Genomic DNA, 20,679 nt, shown 5'->3' on the forward strand with positions numbered 1-20,679 from the left:
CAGACCAGATGATTCACAGCTGAATTCAACCAGATGTACAAAGAAGAGCATGTACCAATTCCATTGAAACTATTCCAAAAAATCAAGGAAAAAGGATTCCTCCTCAACTCATTCTATGGAGCCAGCATCACCCTAATACCAAAACCTTGTAAAGACACGACAAAAAAGGAAACTACAGGCCAATATCCCTGATGAACATAGACACAAAAATCCTTAACAAAATACTAGCAAAGCAAATTCAACAATAAATCAAAAATTTAATTCACCATGATCAAGCAGTTGTATTTTAAAATTCCTTAAGTGAGTTTTTCAATTCCAGGAGCTCTGATTGATTTCTTTTTAAGATGTTTATCTCTTCCTTCATTTCCTGGATTGCTACAGAGGTTTATTTGTATTCATTCCTGAGATGCAAGGTTGGTTGAACATATGCAAATCAGTAAAAGTGATTGACCACATAAATAGATTAAAAACAAAAACCATATGATCATATCAATAGATGCAGAAAAGTCTTTTGATAAAATCCAACATCTCTTCATGATAAAAAAAAAAAAAAGAAAACTCAAGAAACTAGGCATTGAAGGCATATACCCCCAAATAAGAGCCATCTATGACAAACCCACAGCCAACATCATACTGCACAGGCAAAAACTGGAAGCATTTTCCTTGAGAACTGGAACAAGGAAAGGATGCCCACACCCATCACTCCTATTCATCATAGTACTGTTAGTGCTAGCCAGAGCAATCAGGCAAGACAAAGAAATAAAAGTCATCCAAATAGGAAAAGAAGTCAAACTATCTCTGTTCACAGATGATCTGATTCTATACATTGAAAATTCTAAAGACTCTACCAAGAGGCTCCTGGAATGGATAAATGACTTCAGCAAAGTTTCAGGATACAAAATCTATGTACAAAAATCAGTAGCATGTCTATACAGCAAAAATATTCAGTCCAAAACCAAATGAAGAATGCAATCCCGCTTGCAGTCACCACAAAAAAAATAAAATAAAATACTCAAGAATACATCTAACCAAGGAGGTGAAAGAACTCTACAAGAAGAACTACAAAACCATGCTTAAAGTAATCATCAGTGACACAAACAAATGGAAAAATATGCCATGCTCATGGATTGTAAGAATCAATATAATTAAAATGGCCATACTGCCCGAAGCAATCTACAGATTCAACATTATTCCTATGAAACTACAAATGTCATTTTTTACAGAATTGGAAAAAAAACTATTCTAAAATTCATATGAAACCAAAAAGGAGCCTGAACAGCCAAAGCAAACCTAAGCAAAAAGACCAAAATACCAAAGCTGGAGGCATCACATTACCTGACTTCAAAGTATACTATAAGGCTACAGTAACTAAAACAGCATGGTACTGGTACAAAAACAGACACAGAGACTAATGGAACAGAATAGAGAACCTAATAAAACCAAAACACACATGCATTTGCACGTTCATCACAGCACTATTCACAATAGCGAAGACATGGTATCAACCTAGATGCCCATCAACCATGGATTGGATTTTTTAAATGTGGTACATATACACCATGGAATACTATGCAGCCATAAAAAGAATGAAATATCATCCTTTGCAGCAACATGGATGCAGCTGGAGGCCATTATCCTAAGTGAATTAAAACAGAAAAAGAAAACCAAATACCTCATGTTCTCACTTATAAGTGGGAGCTAAACATTGGATACTCATGGACATAAAGATAACAACAATAGACACTGGGGACTACTTGAGGGGAAGGAGGGAGGGAGACAGGGAGAAAAGGTTTAAAAACTAACTGTTGGGTATTGTTCTCAGTACTTGGGTGATAGGATCATTCCTACCCCACACTTCAGCATCACACAATATACCCAGATAACAAACTTGCACGTGTACCTTCTGAATCTAAAATAAAAGTTGAAAAAGGAAAAAAAGAAAAATGTAAAACTCATGGATGAATTTAAGACACAGTTGAGGAGAGAATTAGTGAACTGGAAGATTCAGTCAGAAGAAAATAACAAGAATGAAGCATAGAGAGATAAAGAACAGAAAATAAAGAAAAATGCTTTAAAAATATAGGAAATGGAGTCAGGAGCTCTATCACATGTATATTTGGAGTCTGAGAAACAGATAAAAGTGAAGATGGCCCAGAGACTTTATTTAAGGAGATATATTTTAAAAGGGCTCAAAATGTTGAAAGACATTAAGCCACAGATTTAAGAAATCCTATAAATACCATTTAGAAAATAGCAAGAGAAACCACATATGGGCACATTATAGTAAAATTTCCCCAAAAATAATAAAGATAAAATCTTCAAAGTAGGTTCTTGAAAACATACATTACATTCAAAGGAAAAAACATTAGACTGACAGCTGGCTCCTCAAAAGACAACATAAAAGCCAGAAAACAATGAAATGATGCTTTTGACTCTTGCTGGCAGAAAATAATAGCTGACCTAAAAATCTGTATTTCATAAATACCTTCTAAGAATGATAGTATAAAAAAATTTTCTGATAATCAAAAACTGATAGAACAAAGAAGTAAATCACACAATTGTAATAGATTTAACTTCTTCTTCCTCAATAACTGAAAAGATAAATGGCTTTTTTTAGTTGGGGGAGTGTTTTAAAACATTAGAACAAGAAAGCTAACAAATTTGTCTTGTATCACAACTATAGAATACACTTTGTTTTTAGATACTCATGGAAAATTTACGAAAACTTAGCATATGCTGGGCCATAAAGCAACTCTCAGCAAATTGGAAAGGATTGAAATCATTCAGAGTTTTTCTCTGACCTGAGTGCAACTAAACTAGAAATCAACAATAAGAAGTTAAGTAGCAAACCCCCATATGCCTAGAAATCGAGGTATATACTTCTAAACAGAACATTAGTCAAAGAAAAAATTTTAATTAAAATTATATATACTTTGAACTGAATGATAATGTAATTGTTTTCTATGGCTGCATAACAGATTATTACAAAATTAGTGTCTTACGACAGCACCCATTTATCATCTCACATTTTCCATAGCTCAGGAGCCTGGGCAAGGCCCAACCGGGCCCTTTGCTCAGGGTCTTACAAGACTAGGAGCAAGGTGTTGGCCTCATCTGAGTTCCAGTCCTCCTCCAAGCTCCCCGGAAATTGGCAGAATTCATTTGCCCTTAGCTCCTTGAGGCCACCCACCACTTTCCACCACAAGGCCCTCTCCACAGCACAGTAGTTTGCTTCTTCAAGGCCAGTAGGAGAGCATCTCTCCTGCTTTGAATCACTCTGGTCTCTTAGCCTCTTTATAGAGGCTCTCCTGATTAGCTCAGGCCCAATGAGATAATCTCCTTTTTGATTATCTGAAAGTCAATTAAGAACAAGTGCAGAATTCCTTCGCTTTATCCTATAACATAACTGATTTCAGTCAAAGATCCATCAAGTTCATAAGTCCTACTCATCCTCCAGGGGAAAGAAATACAGGTGTGTAAGCCAGGTGTGAAAATCATGGCTCTCCTGCAGAAGTCTGCCTCCCACTTTCAGCAAAATGGAAAATGTCAAAACAAGTGAGATTCGGCCAAAGGCAAAAGAAAGTGTATAGGCTTAGATATACGTATCAGAAAAGGAGAAATACTGAAACATTAATGAACTATACATCCATCTAATTTTTTTAAAAAAGAACAACAAATTAACCCCAAATAAAGTGAACATACTCTAGAAGGGAATCAACACAGACAAGAATGCATTCCTTGAAAAAACTTTGACATTAATCTCAAAGAAAAAAGAGCTCAGAAATCTATAAATAAAAGATAGATGGGTCCCTAGAAACATTTTTACACTCAGGTCAACACAGGTCCAGGTGCTGCTGTTGTCTGCAGGCTCACCTTGTTGCCATAGCAACAGCTACATCTGCCTGCTGCCTCTCCTGCTTCATCCTCTGGGCCCACGGCCAGGTAGTTGTGAACCTGAGACACAGGGTCCCCACTACTCCCACAGGTTACCTGCATGTCACAGTCAGAGGCTCGCAGGTGGTAAGAGCCCAACTTGGATTCAAGTTCACCCTCATGCCTTCCAGATGTACATGCAGGTTCCTGTTTCTCTTCGTCCCCATGTCACATCTGTCTGTCCTGCCTGACTGCCTGCCTGGCCAACTTCAGGCTCTGAAATGGACACAGAAGCAACAGCCTGATGGACACCGTTTCACCAGCTCCACAACTGCCCCAGGCCAAGTCCCTATCAAATACCTCCATATGCTATTTCTCTCCTAGTGGTTCTAACTCTCTGCTGAACCCCAACATCTGCACTCATAAGACATGAAAACTGGGAGGGAACCAAATGTCCATCGGGTGGAAGAAGGGGTGAGTCCCTTATGCTCTGTCATGAAAAACTATTTAGCATTGAAAGTAAACGGACTACAGCAAATCAGAATCACACGGGCGAATCTTTGAATCACAATGTTGACTAAAAGAAGCCAGGCAAAAAAGAATGCATACTATATAAGCCACCTGTCTAGAAACACAAAAGTGAGGCAAAAAAGAATGCATGCTATATAAGCCACCTGTCTAGAAACACAAAAGTGAAATAGGCTGCCAGAAGTCAGGACCATGCTGTTCTCTGAGGAGAAGAAAGAAGATTTCAACCGAGCTGTGACAAGATTTCCCGAGATCCCCTCTCTGTAGTCACTAAGGGATCTCCACATTCGGACAATATGCTGAACTGTGACAAGATTTCCCACCATCCCCTCTCCGTAGTCGCTTAAGGTTGTCCATGTTTGGACAATTTGCTGAGCTGTGCTTTTATGTCGTGCTCGCTTTTCTCAAGCTTGTTATTCCTCAACAACAACAACAACAAGAAGGCCAAATACCGGGGAAAACCCTGCTAGATGGAAAGCCCCAGGGGATGGGAGCTCCACCCACCCCGCAGGTTCCGTGCAGCTGGCCTGGCGCACATGTGCAGTCATCCTGGGTGGAGGAAAGGAGTCGCCGTCAGCAGGGAGGGCATGCCTCCTGCGTGCCTAATCCGGCATGATTTGTAGCCTCCTCTCACACACTTCATCACGTTCTACAATCTTGTTTCTCAATTTTCTTTGCTATCTGATACACCCATGAATCTGTCAAAATATTCATCTTACTCTGTTCTTTATGCCATCAAAATAACAGCTTCAGTGGCATCAAATATACAAGCTGTGAGAGAAGACCAATATTTCTTATATCTAGAATGCCCTGGCCCATTAAATTTTCTGGTTGATTCCAGTGCACGACCTGACTTACCAATTCTCAGAGAATTAGAAAACCCATTCTGAAATTGACCTCAAATTTCTTGATCCCAAAACTCACTAGTTGACCCCAAAAGCTCACCCCCAAGGCGAAGGCCATTTGAGGCTCACCTGTGCTATCAGCCCACCTGACGCCGTAATCCCGGGCAGGGAGTGAAGGAGGAATCCATCTGACTCCATTTGTGACTTAATTCCACAGGTGGCTTTTGATAAAACCTCTGGCTTTCACCCAACTTCTCAGGGGCAATTTTGACCTGGGAATCTGGCCCTTCTCAAAAGTCATCATGACTTTATGGAAATGAGAAAGTGACAAGAAAGAAAAACAATGAGGACAGGAAGACCCCCGACCTGCTGGCAAAGACAGCTGGTAATCAAACCATTTCAGTAAGCCTCATTAACACAAAATAGTTAAGCCAAAGTCATACTGATCCATATTCACTTTATCTTAAAATTTCTTTAAAAAAATAGGATAAGAATCCAATTACAACATTATTCATAATAGTCAAAATGTGAAAACAACAGGAATGCCCATCAACTCATGAATGGATAAATAAAATGTGGTCCATCCATACAATGGAGCTAAGAAAAGGACAGAAGTACTGAGAAATACTACAAGACAGATGAATCTTGAAAGCAGTATGCTAAATGAAGAAGGCAGTCACAAAAGCCTACGCACCACATGACTCTATCTACGGGAAACACCCAGCAGCCAGTCACCGAAGGCTACACACCGCACAACTCCGTCTACGTGAAACGCCCAGCGCAGGCGTGCCGGCACATGGGGTGATGAGCGTGCTCTAAAGGTGATCGCGGTGACAGACTGCATAAATCTAGGATTCTGCCAATACCCTGAATTGTATACTTTCAGTGGGTGGGCCGTACGGTGTGCTAATTTCGTCTCAATAAAGCTGTTATAAAAAACAAGGAAGGCGCCCTGCTCCTTTTCATTCCAGCCTTGACGGTGTGCATGTTATCAATTTGATCTGGAATTAAAGTGGCCTGTCTGGAATGTTTGACAAGTAAACTTTCCTCATGCACGATACATCTGACCTAAAACAATAGCAGCAGGCAGCTGCGGAGGGCAGTTTACTCCATCACCTGAGGGCGAGAGCCCTGCACATTAACAGCAGGACGGTTCACTGAAGCAGGTAATGGATTGGTCGGTGGAAACAAGAAATCTTTGTGGGAATGGGTGTGATTATTCATATAGTCTGCTTGCTAATTGTGGCTCTGTGAACAGTATTTTCAGTGCCTTTGAGAGCCCTGAACGTCAGGGGTTCCACCAATGGCCTAGCAAACACAGAGGCGCGCTGACGGCTCAGCTCTGGGGCCATCTGACACGTGGCTGAACTTGCACAACTGTCTAATCCTGTGTTTCCACACCACTTGTGACAGTGAGCGTTGCTTGACAGGGGTTTATGCAAGGACAACGTGTGTGCGCCTACGCCGTGTGCACGTGTGTGTGCCTGTGCATATCTTGGCCAGTATGTCAGCACACACTCCACGCACTCCAGGTTGGCTCATGTCAGTGTGTTCTTTAAGCTCGAAAGAACCTAAAGGGGAAGACAATGCCTGATGAATTCCCTGCATATGGGGCCAAATAAACATAGTCTAGAGGGCTGAACGGTTTGTGGGTTCCTTTTTTACAATCCCATCCTCGAATGGCAAAAGTGCGTGTTCATCTTGCAGGATTTTCTTTATAGGATTGCCTTCTTGGAGAAGCCCCTCATGGGAGGTCCTGGCAGCAGCCCTTCCCTGTCTCATCAGGATGGGTTGACTGTCCTGGCTGGTGTTTCCTGAAGGGCTGGGCAGGGATCTCTGTACTCAAGAGACAGAGACCATGGGAAGCGCTTGCTGACCTGATGCCAGGCCAAGTATACCTGGGGAAGCCAGGAGAAGACCTGTTTTCCCGGGGTCTGAAACGGCTGCTGAAGGCAGGGAAGGGGCTGTCCTCCCAGGTAGCCCCGAGAGTCTCTTCTGCTTTTCTGCCACCACCCCGAGGGTCCACGTACCCTTGGACGGATGACCCCAGATTATCCCAACCCAGATGTTCTGTCTCCTCTTCCACAGGATTCCCAGGGCTCTGACCCGACCCTAGCTGAGCACCAAACTGAGAACTTTGAAAATAAACTGCACCTTTGAAAGCAAAAGGGACACGCGGCAGCAAGAGGCAAAACAAAGCTGATGCTGGAGGTGGCATCCTTGATTTCCAATTAAGAAAAAGCGGTCCTCCGATACTTTGCACTTATTAAAGGTATTCCTGCTTTACAAACAGCTTCCCAGTTTAGTGGGTTGTAAATGTTTTTAAAAATTAGGAGGTAAGACTGTCCTTGCAGTCAGAGGTCTGCTACTAAGCTGCAAACCAGCGAGATCAACCATGCCAAGCATTTTAAGAACTCACTTGATTTTATTTACATTTGGCCCTTGTAGAAGGAAAAAAATTAGTAAAGGGAGATTTTTAACTTAATCAAATCTGGGGGGAAAATAATAGATAATAGATTCAGTGTCACCTTGAAGACGTCAGCCTGCTACTATAATGTAAGTCAAACCTGCCTCGGCGGTGGCTTACTGAGCCTGGCGTCACGTGGGCAACCTCCCCTCCAGGCACACAGGTGCCTGCAGGTGTCCAGGTCCTGTGCCAGCCAGGATGCAATTTCTGGCTTCGCAGCTTTGCCCACGTGCACACAGCCTCCAAGGCTTTGGGGGTGCTGCCAGGCTGGAAGTGTGGCGTGTCCAGGAGTGCACCCAAGCCACACCACTAGGGCAGGGACGTCTGATCCATCAGACGCAAACCTAGATTCCAGCTCAGCCACGTGTTGCAGGTGTGATCTTGACTGTTCCTGAAATCCACGAGCCAGCACTTCTTTATCTGCAGTTAGGAATCATGATGCCAACTTTGCAGAGATGTCGAGAAGAACAAAAGGATAGCTTCATAAAGAGTCTGCCATGTAGGAAACACACAGAAATCGCTGCTATTGGTTTGCTTGGGAAGAACAGCTTCTGAGCCCAGCTTGAACAGCCGCTGCTTCTCCACACCAAGTTTACTGCAATGGTGAGTCAAGAAGCGAATGCTTTCCCCGGACCTCCACGAAGATGCCGGAAACTTTTCTGCTCAACTTTGCAAGGGGCCATCTAAGTGCCACTTAGAGACGGAAGCTCTGACCCAACCCCACAGGGATGTTTTTTCCTTTCATTCCTTTGCTCTGAACACTTGGCCGTATGCTGTGTGCAGCAGAGACAGGACTCAGGGAAGAGACAGGTGCCTGCCACCACTGTTGGTCTTCGTCTTCCGGCGTCTGAAAGTGGCGATCATGGGTATATCGGCCAGCACTTTGAAAAACAGGTCTCTCCAACAAAAGCAACTGAGACATAAAACATCTGTCCAGAAACCTGGGGGCATTGCTGGTGTCATGAGGTGGGGTCACCAGGCGTCTGGAGCCTTCGACCTCAGCCGCAGCAGCAGCAGCAAAAGAAGCCCCACAAAATCGTCGCCGTCCGAATCTGCGACCAGCAGCCCCTTCCTCCGATCCTGACTCATTGATCAGCTTACTGGCTCCGTGAGCCGCCACAACGCCCTAATGCAGAATGATGCCCTCCAGAGGGGCAGGGTGTTCACGAAGTCTTTGCTGACTGGTCATCCCGGGAGGGCCTGGGTCTAGACTGGCAGCAGGCGTTAACCCTTCTCAGGCATAGACTCAGTAGGTCCCTTTCCCCTGACCCCCGGATGACCTCGTGTTTTCATCTGAAGGCATGAGTGCTTGCGGAACGCGTCATCACTGGGGTCATTGTCCATCCACCCAGGCCACATACATTGGTTATCAAGCCATCACAGCTCTGGTTCTGAAGATCCCCTATCACAGTCAGCCGATTTCAAGATGTTAAATGTTTCAACACAATTTTTCCCTCATTCCTCTGTACTCTAACATATTAGCAAGCATAGAAATAAAGTTACTACAAACAGCTGGTCTAAATTATTCTTCAAGTTTATCTTTGTAAACACCCTCTCTGGGTTGCAGAATATGCATATTTTCTATGCTCCACATTTGGCTCCATAGACATTGTTATGAGTACTGTATGGTATGGTTAAAAATGTTTCTCTTTCATTTCGGAGTCTTTAATTTTATGTTTGAGCTCTGCATAAAAATAGCTTGTAATTGCTTTTTGACAGTAATAAGCCTAAGATTGTGACTCAAAAATTTGAGATATTATGTTCTTTTGTAATTGTATTCAATGAACACATAGTTCAATATGGAACTTTAAAAAAAAATCCCCAGCTTGTGCAGTTCCTTCATTGTACTGACACCACGAAAGTGACAGTGAGAGTCGGTGAACCAGGAGGCCTGATGAGGACTCACACTTACTTGTTAAGAAAGCTCGTTTTTATTGAGAGAAAAGCCATCTTTACACAAGCTGCAGTGTCTATGGAAGAGCTGAAAACTCAGAGCCTTCAACCCTTGTCTCCTCACCCTCAGCTTGCGTTGCACCTCATGGCATCCTGTGGAGCTGAGCAACAGTGAGATTCAAATTCTCTTATCTCATCTCAGGGACAATTCCACCAGAGAGTTCAACAATCAAATGGTGTGTAATACAAATAAAATAAGGCCAGACATTGAAAGCCAAAAGCATTGTACACCTCCCAAGCGTGAATTGAGATGAATACTGTTCTAAGAAATTACACAGAGATGGTGTGAGGTGTTAAAAATTGGCTAACATGTTTCTCAGGGAAACTGAAATCAGATAGGATATTCTAGAAACATAAGAGAACAAACTCCATCAATGTTGTCTCATCAACATCAATCCACATAGACTTTTTATTTGTTCTTTTCTTGTCAAACTTAAATTTCTTCCATAAATATAGCTTCACTTTACATTTCAGCTAACAGCGTTAAGTGGGAAGGGTCCACAGGTCCAGCAAGCTGCCACAATTTAGAACCTGCCACTCTGTTTTCATTAAATTCACTGCCATTTCTCTCAGCAGCAAGAAATAATGTAGAACAGTTTTTAGATATATCAATTAATATCAGAAAGATAGGAGAAAAGGATGGTTTTAACAGCTAAAGTCCAGGAGAATAAAATGTAGCTAAATCATGTTTTTCCTCTCAGGCCAGTGCCTCTGTTGTGATGGGCCTGAGCATTCAACAGAGACATTCAAAGCCACGGAATGTGATTTCCACTTTAAACTTTCCCCCGATGACCAACCGCCATGCACTTTCCTCCAAATATCAATAGAGCAACCAAAGCTGAGGCCCAGCAGTCTTCCTTCTAAGCTTCCAAGGCAACAGAATACATTTTTGTTCATGTACAAAATAGAAAATAGGGAGAAACACAACTCGTTTTTAATGAATTACATAAGTTTAAACACTTTGAGTCTATCAAACAAGGTCATGCTGGCAAAGAACAAAGCACACAGCTCGCACAAGGGAGGTACTCAGGATGAGATGGTGATGGCGATGAGATGACCACCATCGAAACACTGCAAAGCCCCTCCACAGCGAAGACAATAATGATGACCATCATGGGGGTGGTGCAGGCCCTGGAGACTGTGAAGACCATCATGATGATGATGATGACCATCGTGGGGGTGGTGAGAACCCTGGAGACTGTGAAGCCCTGGCATGGTGATGATGATGACCATGACCATCGTGGGGGTGGTGGTGACCCTGGAGACTGTGAAGCCCGTCATGATGAAGACAATGACGATGACCATCGTGGGGGTGGTGGGGACCCTGGAGACTGTGAAGCCCCAGCATCATGATGATGATGATGACCATCGTGGGGGTGGTACAGGCCCTGGATACTGTGGAGCCCATCATTATGATGACAATGACCATCGTGGGTGTGATGGGGACCCTGGAGACTGTGAAGCCCCAGCATCGTGATGATGATGATGACCATCGTGGGGGTGGTGGAGGCCCTGGATACTGTGGAGCCCGTCACGATGATGACGATGACCATCGTGGGGGTGGTGTAGGCCCTGGATACTGTGAAGCCCGTCATGATGAAGATGATGACGATGACCATCATGGGAGTGGTGGGGACCCTGGAGACTGTGAAGCCCCAGCATCGTGATGATGATAATGACCATCGTGGGGGTGGTGGAGGTCCTGGATACTGTGGAGCCCATCATGGTGATGATGATGATGACGATGACCATCGTGGGAGTGGTGCAGGCCCTGGATACTGTGGAGCTCGTCATGATGATGATGATGACCATCGTGGGGGTGGTGCAGGCCCTGGATACTGTGAAGCCCATCATGATGAAGATGATGACGATGACCATCATGGGGGTGGGGGGGACCCTGGAGACTGTGAAGCCCGTCATGATGAAGATAACGATGACCATCATAGGGGTGGTAGGGTGGTACCTAAGGTCCTGAATATTGCAAATCCCCTAATGCCCATGGTCTCCTTGAGGCAGATAACCTAGACTTTAGATAGCTCGGTATTTCTTACATCACTTGTGCCAGCCACAAAGGAATTTGAGACCCCACTCACTCTTCTGGATCCTTCTTGATAGAAACTTACCCTGGAATAAGGTAAATAGTTTTACCCATTGTATTAGGTAATGCTAGTTGCTGTTAAAAAATAAATCCAACATCTCAGTGACTGAATCTTCTCACAGCTTTTCTCTTGCTTAGGTAGCTGTCCATAGCAGATATCTCCTCTCTGTGTTGGCCCCCATCTCCCTGAGCCTGGAGTCCTCTGCATTGGCCAGAGGAGAACTCACACTGCAGGAAGCCCTGTGCTTCCCTGAGATGCCCCACGATGCACTGTGGGGACAAGGTGGCGGCTCCACCTGGGTGGGGGGAGCTGGGCTGCAAACTCCTGCCCACCCCCCTCCCCCTGCGGGCTCCAGGAAAGGGCCATGTATCTCCAGTGGACAAGCCACCATCTCAGAGATGCTCTCCATTTCTGTCATATATTCTATTATTATTTTCTATTCTCAAAGACAGCCTGATAGCAGATGTCCTCAGGATTCCACAGGATGAACTGTCCCTGTAGTTCTGAAGTGTTGAGTCTGAGTCTCCTGATGGGAGACTTGTTACAGGAGCTGTGCCACACTGTTGGGATCACGTCAGTGTTTCATGCCAGAAGGTTCCACACAGACCATTATTTACCGGAGTCAGAACAGTCTCGGTGAGACGGCTCCTCAGCTGCTTAACCATGCCAGCGCCACCCAGACAGTCTCAATTCTCATGGAGGTTCCAGTCTCCATCTGTGGGCCTCGGCCCCAACAGCTGACTGTCTGCAGCATTAACACTAGAGGGGCTGGGGTCTTCGATGCAGCCCTTTTGAATGACTCCACCCTTCTTTCTCTAGGGATTATTTTTTTCTGTGTCTCTTAGATCTACGAAGCCAAAGGCCTCTCAGCTCTGGAATTAGATGGAAGAGCAATCCTGGTTAATGAGGATCCTCCAGGAATGGTGTCTGGGGCCTGCCTGTCCCCTGTACACACGCAATGCCAGGCATGAAGTCACCAACTCCCTGCAGAGAGACATGCACACAGGACACAGGGCTGTGGCCCTTCCCATGGGTGCGACCTTCCCGCCCTCCTGGCTGGCCCATGTTCATAAACACAATTTTCTCTAAACTATCATACCATATACCATCACCTCTTTAGGTATTCAGATTTTGCCTAGGATTTTCTTTATTAACAAGAAAATGTTTACTACAATGAACAATTCTGACTCGTAACAACAGTATCCCCTGAGCACTTTAGTCTGTCACGGCATGCGCCCCTCAGGGCCACATCAGTGCCACGCTGTCTGGGCGGCAGCTGTTCCAGAACCTGCTCTGGGTAATGATGTTCGGCAGACACACAGATCCATGAGTGCTGAGGCTAATTATGTAATAAGGGAATCACTCTTAAAATTTTATAAACGTTAATATAGACATTTAACTTCAATTTCTTTGAAAGTTAGGTAGGAAATGAGAATTCTACTAGTGCTAGTACCAAATGCTCACTTTTATACAGAGGTTTTAAAATGTAGGGCCTTGCAAATCTAATGCTGTATTCATGCTGCAAATTACTCTCCTTGGCATTGAAATATCACTGCAATTAAACCTGCAGTAAAGTATTACAAAAAGCCCTTGACTGTTTTCAAACAAAATCGTGCAGCTCTTCAGAACGCTGTGCGTTGAAGGGCGAGCCATCTACTGTGTAATTCATTTTTATTATCTGCTCAACATTCCTCCAAAACAGTTTGTTCTTTCCTTTCCACAGCGTGGATACTTAGCTTTCCAGAGCTGGTGTCCATCGTGAAGAACGCGGCTGCCCTCACCAGCTCCTACTCGTGGGGTGGGGAAGGGGTAGTTTCCCCTGCCAGCATCCACGCCCCTGCCAGCATCCACGCCCCTGCCAGCATCCACGCCCCTGCCAGCATCCACGCACCTGCCAGCATCCACGCACCTGCCAGCATCCATGCACCTGCCAGCATCCACGCACCAGCCAGGCGCACTCCTCTGCTTCCCAGTTCCCTGATTCCTGGAATTAGAACTATTTCACCTATCGGCAAGAGAGACAGTGGGTCAGCCAGCGCCTACTGAGCGTTCTGTGCCGGGGATAACATGATGAGCAAGGCAGACAGGCCCTCTGGCCTCAGAAAACTTCTATTCTAGCGGGGAAAAAAAAGACATTAAACAAAGCACTGGAGCAAGCAAGCACCAGGAGTGCCGGGACAGAGAGGAGAGTGAGGCATGAAGGAGAGAACGGGCCAATCGGTCAGCCAGCAGGGCCCACGACCAGCCCCTGTTCTCCAGGAAACCAGCCCATCTCCCAAGGAGGATGAGGCACTCCATGAGGCCGGCCTTCCTGCTGGCCAATTCTGACTATGGGCCCTTCTGCCAGAAGCACTGGGTTCTGCCTGCTTTGTTCCTATTTAAGGACTGTCACCAAGAAGCCCACACCAGCAGGTGGGAGGCTGCCTGGGGTCTGTCCTTTCTCTGGTTTCTACACTGAGCTGACACCCAACATGGACCCTGTGTGTGTCCACAGTGGCTCTCCAGCCTGCCCCTCCTCCCCAGTCTGACAATCCACACTCAGATGGTGCCGGAGGTCTGAAGCTGTTCTCCCTCCCATCACATTCTTGCCCCTCCATTTATTTTCCAATTCTATGGAAATTCTAAAATACGACTCTCATTTCATTCCCTCACACTTGAAACTTTCCAGAGGCTCCAAGAGAAATGCAAATGCTCCGCAGGAGGCAGAGCTTGACTTCAGCCCTGCAGGGACACCCGTCACCTCCAGACACCACACGCCAAACCCCTGCAGGGGCACCCGTCACCTCCACTTACCACACGCTCCACCTCAGCCCTGCAGAGACACCTGTCACCTCCAGACACCACATGCTCCACCTCAGCCCTGCAGGGACCCTCGTCACCTCCACACACCACATGTTCCACCTCAGCCCTGCAGAAGCACTCATCACCTCCAGAAACCACACGCCAAACCCCTGCAGGGGCACTTGTCACCTCCAGACACCACACACTCCACTCAGCCCTGCAGGGACCCCTGTCACCTCCAGACACCACACACTCCACTCAGCCCTGCAGGGACCCCTGTCACCTCCACACACCACACGCTCCACCTCAGCCCTGCAGAGACACCTGTCACCTCCAGAAACCACACGCCAAACCCCTGCAGGGGCACCTGTCACCTCCAGAAACCACACATTCCACCTCAGCCCTGCAGGGACCCCCATCACCGCCAGAAACCACACGCTCCCCTTCAGCCCTGCAGGGCACCCGTCACCTCCAGACTCCGCATGCCGAATGCTGCAGCCACACAGAGCCACTCTTGCCCCCGAGTGGGACTCTCTCTTCTCTGCAGACCTGGGACACGCTTTTCGTCTGCTGAGAAAGCTCCTTCCTGCTGGTTTTCCTCACTGCTGCTTGGTCATAAACGTCAAGTCTCAGCTTGGGCCTTTTCTGACCTCTGTGTCAGGGCAGTGCCCACCGAGTTACCTCAGAGCATCTGTGCTTGCTCCAGTCACTGCGCGAATCCCACTGTTATTAAAATGGGGGACGGCGGGGTTAGATTGATCGGAGAGCAGGCTCTGACCTCCCACCGCCTGGGTTCGTGCTCCACACACCACAAGTAGCCGGCAGCCTCAGACAAGAAACTCAGCCCTGGGACGCCCAAGTATCTCTGTCCTGAGCCAAGCTGGGCTACAACCACCCCTGAGAGGAATGGCCCCTGACACATCAACACAGCCCTGGCATTGTGGGGACAGTCAAGTCCAACATGCAATTCTGAGTCTCCCTCCGCGAGGAAGGGAGGGGTCAGACTGTTGCCTTCCGACTGCTTCCCAAGGCCACTCCGGCCAGGAGCACCGCCACACAGCGCTCTGCAGTCCACCTCCCACAATCAGACTGCACCATTTCACACAGAACTCTTCATCCTCTGAGAACCAGTTGCCTACAGAGCCCCAAGATCTGAGCCCCAGCCTCTCACCTGCAAAGACATGTCTGCTTCAGACGTGGCAATGTTCTGCAGAGGCACAAAACCTGGGGGCCTCAAGGTGGGGTCAACCGAGTTGTGGGGGGTTCCTTGGGTGGGCACTTGCTTCCAGGGAGTGGTCTAGGGCCAGGGACTTTGTGGGGGCCTGTGTGTTTTCTTCCTTTTTTCTTCTTTCTCTGTTTTGTTTTTGAAAGAGAGCAGTAAAAAGGAGAAACAGCTCCAAAATCACAGTACTTAGCTACCCGAGGGCAACTGCAGTTAACCTGTCCATCTGATCCTGGGTCTCCAGAGCAGCCGTGAGATTTAAACTGGGGGTCCAAATAACAACTGGGGATGAAGAAGCGGAATTTCGCATTCAGGGGCACTTCCAAAAACATAATCTTCCATGCACGGAGCTATGTAAGAATGAAAGGACGGAGCTGACCTGCTGAGGGTGTTTAAAAGTTTCTGCTGTGGTTGCTGCATGTTGGGTGTGTGGTTGCATGTGCGTGCCTTTTCTTCTGAGCAGTTGGAGGCAGGACGACAAGAATCACCTCTTTTAACATCACAACACTGGCCTCCCCGTCAGCTTCCGACCCACACGAACCAGGCTCAAGACCCAGGAGTGTTGGATTAGGGGGTGTTGTTGCACTAGGGTGCCAGGCTGAAGCCCAGGGCCCAGACGATGCTGAGAGCTTGAGGACACTTCACTTGTTCACGTGCTTGCAAATATATAATGCAATGAACACAGATACGACGCCGCCTGCAATTTTCAACAGCGAATTCAAACCCCAACCAGAAGCAACGTGAGTTGAGAGGAGAAGCATGTGAGCAACCTTCCAAGGGTCTTCACAGCGGCCTCAGTGCTGTCCAGTGACAGTCCACGTTGTGATCCAGCCCGAGGGGTGGGGGACCTTGGCCTCAGCAGGGAGGGAGGATGCACCAGAGTGCCTTCAGCTCTAGCGGCGCTCACCAGCTTTCTCACTTACCACAGGCATCAAAATTAAGAGGATCTTTTCAAATGCTCAAGAGTCCGTACAAATTACACCCCGGGAAAGACAACGGAGATGAGAAACGTTCCTCAGTATGACAGGCACCCCCAAGCTCATCACCGAGCCTACTCCTCCACCTGTCCCCGGCGGGAAGCAGCTGGCCAGGGTCCCGGGGTGGGATGGGGGTGGAAAGGCCAGGAGAGAGGGACTGGTAGAGCCGTGAGGTGCAGAACAAAACCCGAGAAACCAGCCAGGAGTCAGAAGAGCCTTGTGTGCACCACAAAACCCGAGTAGGGACAATTGAAAGTGCCACAGGGCCACAAGGTGAGGAAGCTCCAGGAGTGAGGACTGGGGGGCCAGGAGGCCCAACCCTCCAAGGCATCACCAGCTTCCGCTGCCACGAGGAAGGGAAGGGGTGTCTCCTTTGCTCCAATCTCCTTTTCAACGATATCTGGAGATTCTCATCCCATTTGAGAACAAATCTGGGGAAGAAAAACTAAAAATAAAGAGAGATTTATATTTATGTCAGTTTGGCTAAAAAAAAAAAAAAAACAAGAGAGAAACATGAATAGATCAGTGGGTAATAACTAGGCAAGTTATATCACAATATGAGTGAATCTCCCCAGCAGAAACCAAATAACCAAATAAGTAGGCTTGCATGCCATCACCACACATCGATAACATGCACGAGCCAAAATCAGACACCACAGTTGACAACAAATACCAGGAACCTTTCTTTGAGCAAAAGCTGTTAGTCTGTTTAATCATCTTCCAGGAGAAAAGAGAGAAGCCCCAACATCTAGACGAATTTTGAAACTAGGCTAAGTAAAACACTAAAAATATACTCTGGAAGAATGCGGTACTTAACCCTGGGGGCTGGACCCAATTACCCACCCTCCTTCTCCATCTGTAATGGCTCTCGCTTTGTGCCATCATTTCATGATGCTAACCTCTCTACCTCCTGCAGCTCAAGGACACCCCATGCTTATGTACCAAGTATCACAAATTGTGCTTAATGACACAAAATAGGAGAACCAGGAGGGTACTCTATTTAAAGGAGGGTTCTTTTTCCATCTATGCATTTTGTTAGCACCTGATGTGTCCTTTCAGGGTAATTCTATCTGGGGTGAAAATAAAATGTTTGATGAGTAGATCTGCAGTTGGTCTACAATTAGACATTCAGGTCACATGGAATCCAAAAAACAGTAATACAAATTCTAATCTGTTTTCAAAGCTTTAACATTTGTGGGGCCAGGTACCGTGGCTTACACCTGTAATCCGAGTCCTTTGGGAGGCCGGGGCAGGCAAATGACTTGAGCTCAGGAGTTTAAGACCAGCCTGGGTAACATGGTGAAACCCCATCTCTACAAAAAATACCAAACATTAGCCAGGTGTGGTGGTGGATGCCGTAGTCCCAGCTACTTGCTGGGCTGAGGCCGGAGGATTGCTTGAGCCCAGCAGATCGAGGCTGCAGCAATCCAAGACCTCACCACTACGCTCCAGCGTGGGTGGCAAAGTCAGACCCCGTCTCAAACAAACAAATAAAAAATTTAACATTTCCCTTAATTTCTGCCATATTATTGAATCTTTTCTGCAGACTGTGGAGCTTTTATGATATTTGATGGGTTTAAAAGACCCTCTCTATGCTAATATAACTAACATAAGTAATAGAAAGACATGTTGGTAACATGCACAAATGTTCCACTACCTTAACACCACTTAGTTACATATTATAAGACAACGATTTTATTAATGCTTTCTGATACAATGTAACTCACAAGATGAAAATAGATCTAAAATATAGGTAATATATTTGGTTTAGTGGTTTTTGAAAAAATCATTCTTAAACCATTTTCTAAGAATTTGGGTCTCTTACATTTGAGTGGAAGTCACTTTTCTTAAAATTCAGTGACAATCTACAGCCATTGTGGGAAAGAGGCGTTCTGCAGCCCTGCAGCAGGCCTGTGTTCCAGGAGCCCCTACTTAAGAAATGTCTGGCTTCTGCCACCCCACCCTAGGCCTGAGCTTCCCGCTGGCTGCCGGACGCCGTCCTGCCAGCATTCTGCCTGACCTCAGCGGGGTCACCCCCGAACCTCACCCCATCGATGGCTCAGGCTGCCCCTCCAGGCCGCCGCCCGGCCTCATCACCCTCCCGCTCCCCACCAGGGTCCCACCCTCTCACTCCACTTTCCTCTTCAGTAGAGCACCGGGACTCCCTGTGCACCACCAGCCAAGCTAGACCCGGACATTTCACCCGGAGGATCAGGCAGGGTAACACCCCACTCATTTCATCCACCTGCTTAGAACTCGCCATGTCTCTTCATGGTCTTAGGCTGCAGAAGCCCTTTCCGAGCACGACGCAAGGGCCAGAAACAGAGCACACGAAACTTACAATTTTCTGCATCACAGCGAAAATCAAACAAACAAAAACAAAAAACAAAGTTAAAAGATAATTCTTTGGAGAAAATATTTATACGAATTACCAAAGAAAGGCTATTGTCTTTGTATATTTCATACATTAATATCCTTAGATTAGATTGTAAAGCCATAAGAGAAATATGAACAGAAAACCAGGCCACTGAATTTGTTTGGGGACATATTAAAAATTTGCATGTACTGAAACAAAAAGGTCTTTAGTTGAAAAAAAAAAAATTAAGAAACAAAATAGCATCACATGACAGGAACTTTTTTTGGTCTTTGAAAGTAGGAGTGTCATATGCAAAAGGGAAGAAAAGCAAACAAAATACGTCAAGTTATGTTAAATACGTCATGTTAGCAGTTGGCCGGGCAAGGGGGCTCACACCTGTAATCCCAGCACTTTGGGAGGCTGACACAGGAGGATTGTTTGAGTTCAGGTGTTTGAGATGAGCCGGGGCAACATAGTGACACCATGTCTCTACAGTTTTTTTTTTTTTTTTTGAATTAGCTGAGTGTGGTGGTACGTGCCTGTGGTCCCAGCTACAGGGGAGGCTGAGGCAGGAGGATGGCTTGAGCCCAGGAGTTCGAGCTTACAATGAGCTATGATTGTGTCACTGCACTCTAGCCTGGGTGACAGAGCAAGACCCTGTCTAAAAAGGAAAAAAAAAAAGTTGGGTAACAGTTACCTCCAATTGTAGAATTTTTTTTTATTATCGTCATGTTTTTTCTTTATGCATATCTGTGTGTTTTTAAAGTTTTGCAAGTAAAAAATTCTAAAATCTGTTGGCTCACATTCAAGACCCTCCAAGCCCCAGAAGAAGCTCTGTCTCTCCAGGTGCCACCTGCACTTCTCCCGCAGGAATCCCTTGCTGAAAGCTCCACACTGAACAGAGCTTTTCTCTCGGAAACTCCTGCCCACCTGTTCCACATACTGTAGACACATCCAAGAATTCTAAAAGAATAGAAGGAGGAATAGTGAGGAAGAGTTGGGTCAAAGTACCTTCCAGAAGATATCAGAAAGAGGTGAAAAAAAAAAAAAAATGCTGGGCGCGGTGGCTCACGCCTGTAATACCAGCACTTTGGGAAGCCAAGGCAGGTGGATCACTCGAGGTCAGGAGTTCGAGACCAGGCTGGTCAACATGGTGAAACCCCGTCTCTACTAAAAATACAAAAAATTAGCCAGGTGTGGTGGCACGCACCTGTAATCTCAGCTCCCCGTCTCTACTAAAAATACAAAAAATTAGCCGGGTGTGGTGGCATGCACCTGTAATCTCAGCTACTGGGGAGGCTGAGGCAGGAGAATTGCTTGAACCTGGGAGTCAGAGGTTGCAGTGAGCCAAGATCATGCCACTGCATTCCAGCCTGGGAGACAAAATGAGACCCTGTCTCAAAAAAAAAAGCGGGGGGAGGCTGGGTGCGGTGGCTCACGCCTGTAATCCCAGCACTTTGGGAGGCTGAGACGGGGGATCACCTGAGGTCAGGAGTTCAAGACCAGCCTGGCCAGCATGGCGAAGCCCCATCTCTACCAAAACTACAAAAATTAGCTGGGCATGGCGGTGCACACACC

This window comes from Homo sapiens, chromosome 18, assembly GCF_000001405.40.
Source record: "Homo sapiens chromosome 18, GRCh38.p14 Primary Assembly".
Taxonomy (NCBI): domain Eukaryota; kingdom Metazoa; phylum Chordata; class Mammalia; order Primates; family Hominidae; genus Homo; species Homo sapiens.